Here is an 11,428-nt window from a genome sequence, read left to right on the forward strand (position 1 = left end):
AACCAACCAAAATAAATACTTAAGATCTGTGCATCTGTTCACGATAGCAAAGACTTGGAACCAACCCAAATGCCCATCAATGATAGACTGGATAAAGAAAATGTGGCACCTATACACCATGGAATACTATGTAGCCATAAAAAATGATGAGTTCATGTCCTTTGCAGGGACATGGATGAAACTGGAAACCATCATTCTCAGAAAACTAACACAGGTACAGAAAACCAAACACTGTATGTTCTCACTCATAAGTGGGAGTTGAACAATGAGAACACATGGACACAGGGAGGGGAACAACACACACTGGGGCCTGTCAGGGGGTAGGGGGCTAGGGGAGGAATAGCATTAGGAGAAGTATCTAATGTAGATGACCGGTTGATGGGTGCAGCAAACCACCATGGCACGTGTATACCTATGTAACAAACCTGCGTGTACTGCACATGTGTCCCAGGGCTTAAAGTATAATTAAAAAAAAAAAAAGTTCTGTGCATTATATGTAAATCTTATTCCAGGTAAAAAAGAAACAGTAGGATGTGAGAAAAATAAATGTTTCTACTGAAATATTGATGGGTGAAGTAATAGGATGTCTGGGATAGGTTTTAAATACTCCAGAACAAAAATCAGTTAAAAGAAGATTGGCATAATATTGATAAATGTTGAAGCTGGATGATAAAATCATTAGGTTTATACTATTCTCTCTAGCTTTAAATAACTTTGAAAATTCCTATAATGAAAAGTTAAAAGTTATTCATTCATATATTAATAAATATTTCTTACTGTAGTTCTGTGGCACAAGTTCTGGATTCTTAGGAATTTTCAACTTGTAGGATACATCTCCAATATTAACTGTATCACCTAAAAAGAGATTTTAAAAACAGAATAATTATAAGAGACAAACGAGAAAACCATAGACTATGCAACAATGCTTGTCCTGACCTACAGAGAGGGATGTTACAGAAATGTACTACGCAGCTGTCTATAAGTCAAGCACTATGCTCTAAAACTTCTATCCAAAGTATATATGTATAAAGGAGAAGTGAGGCATCAGTGCAATTCACATTTTAAATGTGTTAGCAAACAAACAAACAAAAACATGATAAAATACATCAACAAGCTTTATTTCATGAATAGCAACATTAATATAGGCAAAAGCAATACAGAAGAATGCATTTTGTTTAAGATCATTCAAAGTATCCATAGAGTAAAATCTTTTTTTTTTTTTGTTTTTGAGATGGAGTCTCACTCTGTCACCTGGGCTGGAGTGCAGTGGTGCAAGCTCAGCTCACTGCAAGCTCCGCCTCCCGGGTTCACACCATTCTCCTGCCTCAGCCTCCAGAGTAGCTGGGATTACAGGCGCCTGCCACCATGCCCAGCTAGCTTTTTGTATTTTTAGTAGAGACGGGGTTTCACCATGTTAGCCAGGATGATCTCGATCTCCTGACCTCGTGATCTGCCCGCCTTGGCCTCCCAAAGTGCTGGGATTACAGGCATGAGTCACCACACTCAGCCTTTTTTTTTTTTTTTTTTTAAGACGGACTCTTATTCTGCCACCCAGGCTGGAGTGCAGTGATGTGATCTTGGCTCACCGCAACTTCCGCCTCCTGGGTTCAAGTGATTCTCCTGCCTCAGCCTCCTGAGTAGCTGGGATTACAGGTATGTGCCACCACATCTGGCTAATTTTTGTATTTTTAGTAGAGATGAGGTTTCACCATGTTGGCCAGGCTGGTCTTGAACTCCTGACCTCAAGTGATCCGCCCACCTCGGCCTCCCAAAGTGCTGGGATTACAGGTGTGAGCCTCCACACCCAGCCCATAGAGTGTTACCTTTAACACAGATCCTCAACCTTTTTACATATCTTTGTACACCCGTATTTTTACTGCATACAGTTTCAAATTATCCAGCAACATATCCTCAAACTTCAACATTTCTAGGTGCATAAAAGGAATAAAGCCCCAGTGGCATAAATGCCAAGAACTGGCCAGGTGCAGTGGCTCACGCCTGTAATCCTAGCACTTTGGGAGGCCAAGGCAGGCGGATCACTTGAGGTCAGGAGTTAGAGACCAGCCTGACCAACATGGTAAAACCCCGTCTCTACTAAAAATACAAAAATTAGCTGGGCGTGGTGGTACGTACCTGTAATCCCAGCTACTTGGGAGGCTGAGGCAGGAGAATCGCTTAAAGCCAGGAGGCGGAGGTTGCAGCAAGCCAAGATTACGCCACTGCACTCCAGCCTGGGCAACGGTGCGACACTCCGTCTCAAATAAATAAAAAATAAAAGCCAAGAATTCCTACATGAAATAAGCAAAAGCAGGCAAAAGTTTTCAGTAAGTTCTATACAGTTCTATTTTTTAATGTAACCTTAATTTCCGAGTGATCTTCTAAAGCCGAGGACTAAACTGAATAATCTCTCCCCGCTGTGCTCTCTCTAACAGCAAAATAGGCATGGTGATACCATTTGCATCTAGAATTTCATTTGGAAAGGGCTCAGAGACACTCCAAAAAAGTAGTCGTGCAAAACTCATCTTTCAGCACTGCCAGTTTAAAGCTAGCAAGATACCTTGAACACTAAGGCCTTAAATCATGGTACTAATAACAATAGCCAACATTTGTTGAATGCTTACTACCTTCTAAGTATTTTTTGCATTCTCAAAATAATCCTATGAGACAGAAATTTTACAAATGAGAAAATTTGTAAATCCATAACAGAGTTTTTAACAGATAAAGAAATTTATTACAGGTATGTGGTAAATTGAGAGAGGAAGATAAGGACTACACACAAAGCTAAATCCCTGCTAGGTCCAAAACTGGCAGCCAGAAAAAAGCAAGGCAAAAGATGATGAGGACCAAAATTCAAAAGCCTGCAAAGCTCCTCCATAACCCGTGCACCGCTCCCTTTTCCTCCCCTGTCCAATTAACTCTTTGTCTTCACGCAATCTATCACAGAGATTCTCAAAGCATCAACGTCACCTGGGAACTTGTAAGTCATATAAATCTTCAGGCCCCACCTCAGACCTACTGAATTAGAAACCCTAAGGTCCAGCAATCGGTGTTACAATGAGCCCTCCAGATGATCTCTAATGCATGTTTGAGATCATTTGGTCGTTTAAGTTCTAACACCCTCAAAAAACAGGTGGTCAGCAGTGCCTCATATAGTACAATCTTAGTTACTGCCAGGTATTGGTTGACTGGTCATCTCGCCCTATTTTCCTTAATGCAGGAAAGAACCTATAAATTAGCTACTTTCTACAGTAGCTTTTCTTTTAAAAGATAAGCTTGCTTACAAATATAAGTGATATTATCTACTGGCTTTTATTACAGAGTAGTTTCAAGAATTATAGTTACAGTATTTTCAAATAGGATGTCTTTACAAATGTTATTTCACTTCCTGAAAAGACTGTAATTATTTGGCCTCCTGACAAAATGATACTGAGTAATTAATCTGAACATAAGAAAAACGTTTTCAGGCACAGGTTCTCATTACAAACATTCCCTGAGTGTTAGAGCTGACCGACATCATCCTTCTAATAAATAATCTAGAAAAAGGGCAGACTATACAAATTCATGGTAACTTGACAATTGGCTGTCCATTTTTTTTTTAAAAAAAGTAAAATTCATACCTCACATTTCTGAAAGACAGTACATTCAAACTGAGTAACTGAGGAGAGTACAAAAAGGGAACTATTTACAAAGGTATAGCAGAGTTTACGGAAACCAAAAAAGATGGTGCAGTATCCTAGGACTAGCAATAACAGAAAGTCATTACCGCCCCTAGGCCTGAAGGGGCAAGGGGAGAGAGCAAGCAGAGAGGGTCACTGTGTTAGGAAGCCTCCTTCTGGGTAACACAGCAAACCCATAATGGTGACCTGGCAGGGAGGGAGCTGGGAAATAAACATGAAGCAAAAACGGACAGAACTAAAAGTGGAAATAGAAAAATGCACAATCACATCTAGATATTAATAGCTTTAAGTAGCTCTCTTGGTAAATAATGGAAGAAGTAGGAAAAAATAAAGAAGGATACAGGATAAGGATAATTTTTTCTCAGCCTTCTGGCAAAGACCAAGTATAGACGTAAAGAAAGAGAAGATTGGAAAACATTATTAATCACTTGGCCTAAATGACATTTATGGAACACTACACCCAACAACAGAATGCATATTCTATTTATTATTTATTTAAGTATTACTGCAAGTATGTTTTTATTTTCTCAACCTATCAACTGAATATTGTATTTTATAAAGCACTTTTTAGTATTGTAATTGGTTCCTCATGATCAGAATGCATATCCTTTTTAAATGCACATGGAACATTCACCAAAATAAATTATAGGCTGGACCATAAAGCAAGTCTCAAGGAATTTAAAGATGAGACCAGGCACAATGGCTGGTGCCTATAATCCCAGCACTTTGGGAGGCCGAGGTGGGTGGATCACCTGAGGCCAGGAGTTTGAGACCAGCCAGACCAACATAGTGAAACCCCATCTCTACTAAAAATACAAAATTAGCTGAGCGTGGTGGCTGGCACATGCCTGTAATCCTAGCTACTTGGGAGACTGAAGCAGGAGAATTGCTTGAACCAGGGAGGCGGAGGTTGCAGTGAGCCGAGATAGCGCCATTGCACTCCAGCCTGGGCAACAAGAGTGAAACTCTGTGTCAAAAAAAATTAAAAAAGAAAATTAAAGGATGGAAGTCATAAAGATTATGTTTTCTTACCACAGTGGAATTAAACTGGAAATCAGTAACAAAAAGGTAACTGGAAAATCCCCAAACATTTGGAAATCAAGCAACAGGCTTCTTAAAAAATCCAAAAAATAAATCACAACGGAAATTGGACTCATTGGGAAACAGGGTGGTGATCAATGAGCCACATCTGCAATAGACAAAAGGGAAAAGTTATGACATTCATATGGACCAGGCATCTGCCATCTCTGCCTCAAACATTGATGTTCTTGGCCATCTTCTGTTACTACACTACACTTTCCTCAGTCATTTAATCCATACCAATGTCCCAACTCTGACCTCTATACAACCTTTTTTTTTTTTTCAGTTAAGGGTACTCTTCAAACACCATATACAACTAATTCTTTAAATGTCTATTTTGGCTCAGATCTCTCTCCTGAGTTTCATACCTGCCAGTAGCCTACTGGAGACTTTACCTAGATATTCCAGAGACAACTCAACAAACACACAGAAACAGAATTCTATATTGTCCATTGTGTGCGCCTAACCACCTCTAACCAGCTCCACCTCTTGTATTCCTATCTCAGTGACTAACACTTTATCTCCTCAGCCTAGAAGACCTTCCACATCTCTCTCACACCACTTGCCCTCTACACAACTACTACTGAAATATCTTCATCTCCCCATTGAACCTTCCCTAACTTTTCCTCTAGCACAAATTGATCACTCCATTAGTCTTTCTGCTAGCACAGGATCTGATTTATGCTTCTGTAATGGAAATACAAATTCAAGGAGATAAGAGACATTTTCTAACAATTAAAGAAGAGCTTTTTATCTACTTCCAAAATAGAGATAGGATATTCTATTTCCACTTAAAAGATACACTCAGAATTTGTACTAAATTACTAGAATATTCTGTTTCCACTTAAAAGATACACTCAGAATTTGTAATATTTTTTCTTTTAAATGCCAATATTTACAACATACTGGAAATGTCATCGTTTGCAACTATTTAAACTTACCAGGAAAACTTTAGCTATTAACCTAAAAATGTTCAAAGGGATACATATTTTTAAAATCCTCCTAGCAGATAAATAAGAAAAATTTTTGAAGACTACTGTTTAGTCTACAGGACTCTTTTTTTCTTGGTGCAAGGCCTAAGTTTTAATCATCATTTTATCCCCAATACCTGAAACCTACCAGATATTCAATAAATGTTTGACAAATGAATAATTATAATTTTAAATTTTTTCTTAAGTATTGTTTTTAAGCTGTAATGTTTTCTCCTTTGAAAACATCCCACCTACTAATGTGCTTATAAGTCAAGCCATCTATAATGATTTAAGTGAGGTAGTTTACTCTCTAAAGGGGAATAAGAATACTTATAAGACAACAGGTAACATAATTTAGGCAAAAGAAGCAAATGTATGCCTTTCTTCATGTAAACTGTGGGTTTACTTGAACTAGACTCAAATACTATTGAAGTGTCTAAAGTGCCTGAACCTTGCTGGATTTCTGATTGGTTCAGTTCACAGGGGCTCCTGTTAAGAAGTACACTACAGTCTTTATTATTATCCTGAGATTCTTCATGATAGCCCTTCTGGTGCACCATATCCTCTCAAGTCTTAAATGTTTGTATGCAGCCATTCATTGAGCATTCAATGGTCTCACTTTGACCAGAACAGCAAGAACATAAAGAATTATTCAACTGATATGACATCATGGCTTTTAAATTCCATAATGAGACCAAGTAAGTCCATTAAGTTGGTGACAGAGAGTGGCAACAATGCCCAAAGTTTCAGTGAATCTGTCAAAATTGAGAAGCTAACCAAAGGGGCAAATTGTTAAATTCAACCAAATTTGGTCTAAGGATGCCTCCGTACTTGGAGTCCTTATGTAATGAATTGCAACATAACTTTGTATGTAAATTAACTGAAACCGGAACTTAGGAGTATACTTTGGTAACAAATAGATGAGTCTTAGCCAATCTGAGCAGCTGAGCTTGGGTCAACCACAGGCTGCCAACTGATGAGACCGTGTTCAAGTAAGGCAAACACTGAGTTATAGCCAAGTAAGCTGTTTCCGTACCTGACTTCCATTTTCTGTCCATAAATGCTGCCTGCTCACGTTTCAGAATGGAGCTCTCTGAGCTTATTCTGGTTCTGAGGACTGCCCAATTCACAAATTGTTCTGTGCTTAAATTCTGTTAAGTTTAGTGAGTCTAAAGTTTCTAACAGTAGCTTTGACAAAGAAGTTGGTTTCATGAGGGTTTTTCAACAGCGGCCCTATGAACATTTTGGGCCAGATAATTTTTTGTTGTGAGGGGCTGTCCTGTGTGTCATGGACTGTTTAGCAGCATCACTGGCCTCTACCCGCTAGATGCCAGTAGCACCCCTCCCTCCTGGTTCTGATAACCAAAAAGAAACATCTCCAGACATTGCTAAATGTCCCCTGAGGGGGAGAAATCACCTTGGGTTGAGAACTACTGGGTTAGTGTCATCATTTTTATATATACTAAACTTAGACCCAAGAGAAAACTAAATATATCAGCAATTCCCACACTAGTCTATGTGCCCCTAATGCAGATCTGCCTAATGATTTATAAGCTTACCATTGTTCTGAGCCTTTCTGTTAAATTCTTGAATACACAATGGGGTCAGAATATCCTCAGGGTCAAAATAACCTGCTGCAGGTTTAAAGTAGTTAATAATTTCCCCAAGGTTCAATACCTGATAAATACAAAACTTAGACCAAAACCACAGTATAGTTCTTTCCTCTTTACACTGTATTTCTCAGTTGAAGCCACAGTTCTATATTTCCCCTCCTCAAAGTTATTTCTATCTAATCCTATTGTAGCCCAAGGATATAATCTTAAAATAACAAAAATTCATGTAGATGGATGTTTATTGCATTGTTTATATATTTTAGACAACATGAATGTGCAAGAATGAGACAGTAAAATAAATTATATGGACAAACATATAAACTTAATAACTACTTTAAACAATCATGTACAATGATATTTATTACCATGTTAATATGTTCACAATAATGGATGTAATAATTATAAAACATACATGATCCCATTTCTTTAAAAAAATGTATCTGTATAAATATACATATCATCCAGGCACAGTGGCTCAAATCTGTAATCCCAGCACTTTGGGAGGCAAAGATGGGCAGATCACTTTAAGTCAGGAGTTCGAGACCAGCCTGGCCAACATGGTGAAACCCCATCTCTACCAAAAATACAAAAATTAGCTGGGGTGGCTCATATGGTTTGCCTGTGTCCGACCCAAATCTTGTCTTGAATTCTAGCTCCCATAATCCCCATGTGTCATGGGAGGGACCCAGTGGGAGGTAATTGAATCATGGGGGCAGGTTTTTCCTGTGCTGTTCTCGTGGTAGTGAAAAAGTCTCACGAGGTCTGATGGTTCTATAAAGGGGAGTTTCTGTACACAAGCTCTCTTACTTGCCGCTATGTAAGACGTGACTTTTCTCCTCCTTCGCCTTCCACAATGATTGTGAGGCCTACCCAGCCATGCGAAACTATTGAGTCCATGAAACCTCTTTTTCTTCATAAATTACCCAGTCTCTGGCATGTCCTTATAGCAGTGTGAGAACAGATTAATACAGTGGTGCACACCTGTAGTCCCAGCTACTTGGGAGGCTGAAGCAGGAGAATCGCTTGAACCCAGGAGGTGGAGGTTGCAGTAAGCCAAGACTGCTCCACTGCACTCCAGCCTGGGTGCCACAGCAAGACTCCATCTCAAAAATAAATAAATAAATAATTATACATATATATGTAATCTGATAGGATTAATGCTAAAAAGTTGATAATTATAAATTTGGGTGGGAGGATCATGTTTTAGGGAATCTGTACTTATCACTCTTCTATAATAAACATAGATTGCTGTGTAAAAGTATTTTAGGGTATTTCTATAAACAAATTTACTTCATATACAAGAGTCATAAAGAAAAAACTGTGAATCCCTTTAATAATAATGGCGTTAAAGGAAAGCACCAAAATGTCATGATATATTTATACAGTTATGTTTCTAGGTTTATCATTTGATCTATAGTATATTTGAATCCATTTAACATCAGAGTCCCACTGAAACAACTTGCTTGGCTCCATCTGTAAAAACACTACAATAATCTTTATTGAAAACTCTCTGCAGTAGATATCCTTGTTAACCTCTTTGCTCTTAAAACCAAGAGACAGTAATTTTAATGGAAGTATAAAGAGATATAAAGAATTTACAATTATAGATACTTATACTATCTGACAGCACAGGATAAAAAGCAGTGGGTTTGGGTTGAGTTTATCTGCTTGTTTTGTTTTTAACATAAATGACCTATTTTCCTTCTGCTTATCAGGCTTAACAAAGGTCCTCTCTTGAGAGCAAACGACAATTCCAGCCTCTCCTGCTCCTTCTCTGTATGAACTTTCACAAAATAAGCCACTGAATGCTTACTAGGTACAAAGTGTTGGCAGGCACCAAACGAATATATAGATAAACAAAACAAATACTCCAGGAGAAATAACAGCAGTATATAACTTAAATATATTATTTATGAACTTTGTTGTTCTTTTTTCAAACTATTAGGAAGCAATGTCAATTACAGAGAGAGGAGATAATCAGTTACTGGTCACATGTATGAATGCAGCTGAGAGCATCATCCCAACATAAGATGTAATCCATTATGGCCTATTGCTATTTGTAGTTTTACACTTGTCCATGTATGATCTCTGATTCAAAATGGGACACTTCCATCTTGATAGCCTTACTCTCAGGCCTCAGAGTAGCCAAAAGTGTGCTGTCCATTTACCTGGCTCACAACTGCTCTTACTCAAGTCCAGATCTCTGGTGGGTTCCCAGCTGCATTCAGTTACAGTTCTCACACCCTCAAAAAATACCTCTTTTTGGTCTGATCCTGCCAGAGTAAATGACTGATTTAAAGAAGATAGTATGTTCTCTGTAATATGTCCATGACTCTCACATTTGAAGCAAAGCCTATACTTTGATTTACTGGCTATAACAAAATTTGAGGACATTTACAACTTATCTACCAATACGTATATAATACAGACTTTAAAAACTCACACCCACATGTGTTTTTACAATCAACATGTATTATCCATGTACAAAGAACAATTGTTTTTTAAAAAGTTCAAGTCAATTCACTCGGCTAAATCTGCCTACCCAGATAGTCTGAACAGTCCTGAATCTAAACAAACTTGGTTTCATGTCTTCTAAAGGCAAGGAAACAGAATAATTCTCAAATAGCTAAAACTGTACATACTAAGAATAAAAAAGCTAACTTTTATTGAGCATTAATATGTGCCACAGATTATATTAATTAATAAATCCTCACAACAACCATAATAGATATATTCTTCTTATCCTTTTACAGTTAAGAAAACTAGGACACAAAGTTAAGTAACCTACCCTCAACGACCCATGGTTAGATAGTGGATAAGTGGATTCCAACCCAAATTGTTTAACTCCAAAACCCAACCTATAGTTTATGCTATACTTCCACCTTTGACCTCTGCCTTCTAGGGCAAAGGAGCAAAAAACAAATAAAGAACACACAAAAAATGTAAAAAACAAATGAATAAACAGCCCAGAAGTGAGAGTAATTGAGAAAAAGCAAAAAAAAAAAAAAAAACAAAAAGTAAAATTTGAAATTGCAACACTATGGTGGGGGACGGGGGTGGTGTATGTCTTCAATGAATAAAACGAAATACGTGGGACCTAAATATGCTTTTTTTTTTTTTTTTTTTGAGATGGAGTCTTGCTCTGTCGCCCAGGCCGGAGTGCAGTGGCTCCGGTCACTCCAAGCTCCGCCTCCCGGGTTCACGCCATTCTTCTGCCTCAGCCTCCGGAGTAGCTGGGATTACTGGCGCCCGCCACCACGCCCGGCTAATTTTTCTGTATTTTCTTTTTAGTAGACACGGGGGTTTCACCGTGTTAGCCAGGATGGTCTCGATCTCCTGACCCCGTGATCCGCCCGCCTCAGCCTCCCAAAGTGCTGGGATTACAGGCGTGAGCCACCGCGCCCGGCCCATATGCTCATTTCTTAGCAAGGAAAACTGGGGGTTGCGGGGAAAATGCAAGAGGACAACGAAACCTACAATTTCATAGTGAAAACCTGTTATTCCAAGCAGCACTGACATTGACAAAATCTTGTCTGGAATCACTTCACCATTCAAGGGTAGCAACAACAGATATCCTTTCCTTAACCATCACAGTAACTCTAACTCCACCAACACACAAGAAAAAGAATTCCTAAAACCAGCTCAAGTAGAGCCAAAAAATACTGAGCTTAGAAATCAAAGCATGTGATTCTAGCATAGTAATTAGTTGTGTGTTCTCCAGCGAATCACTTTTCCCTTCTGGGTTTCAATTACCTCATTTGTAGAGGCAAGTGTTTTAACTAAATTAAGGTGTAACTGTCAGCTCTAAGAATTACGTGAAACTTTAAGGAAAACTCCTGTAAAACTTGGAAAGGCTCGGGGATGCATTTAAAACACCGTGAACTATGGGTTCTTTGGCAAGAATGTTCCCTTCTAAGCCGCCACAAGCCCTGGCTAGAACATGACACAGACCGGCTTCCAGGCCCTTGAGGCTCAGAGAGCAAGGTCAAATCCAGCTTTCAATAATTCCATAGGGCTGAGGCATTAACCTCTACGAGTATTATAACCTAAGTCAGAATTCTGGGGGTAAAGGCAGCGGCAGGGGAAG

The 11,428-nt window shown here is 38.7% G+C and overlaps 1 protein-coding gene across 2 annotated transcripts in view, besides 3 other annotated features; it reads right to left on the reverse strand.

The window, feature by feature from the left end:
• Positions 1-11,428, reverse strand: part of VWA8 (von Willebrand factor A domain containing 8) — a 394,275-nt gene that overhangs the window by 382,324 nt on the left and 523 nt on the right. For both annotated transcript variants that reach the window (NM_015058.2, NM_001009814.2), the window contains exon 2: positions 778-855. In NM_015058.2, coding sequence (NP_055873.1) covers positions 778-855 — 78 coding nt within the window. The remainder of the gene's footprint in view (positions 1-777; positions 856-11,428) is intronic.
• Positions 10,184-10,684: an enhancer, noted in NCBI's record as "H3K27ac hESC enhancer chr13:42533478-42533978 (GRCh37/hg19 assembly coordinates)". NCBI's record gives its function as "activates a minimal SCP1, AML or CMV promoter by ChIP-STARR-seq in naive H9 embryonic stem cells {active_cell/tissue: H9 hESC(naive)}" and the evidence as "EXISTENCE:reporter gene assay evidence [ECO:0000049][PMID:30033119]".
• Positions 10,685-11,185: an enhancer, noted in NCBI's record as "H3K27ac hESC enhancer chr13:42533979-42534479 (GRCh37/hg19 assembly coordinates)". NCBI's record gives its function as "activates a minimal SCP1, AML or CMV promoter by ChIP-STARR-seq in naive H9 embryonic stem cells {active_cell/tissue: H9 hESC(naive)}" and the evidence as "EXISTENCE:reporter gene assay evidence [ECO:0000049][PMID:30033119]".
• Positions 11,281-11,420: an enhancer, noted in NCBI's record as "active region_7636". NCBI's record gives its function as "activates an Ori minimal core promoter by ATAC-STARR-seq in GM12878 lymphoblastoid cells {active_cell/tissue: GM12878}" and the evidence as "EXISTENCE:reporter gene assay evidence [ECO:0000049][PMID:35858748]".

The sequence above is a fragment of the Homo sapiens genome, chromosome 13 (assembly GCF_000001405.40).
Source record: "Homo sapiens chromosome 13, GRCh38.p14 Primary Assembly".
NCBI classification, from domain to species: Eukaryota; Metazoa; Chordata; class Mammalia; order Primates; family Hominidae; genus Homo; species Homo sapiens.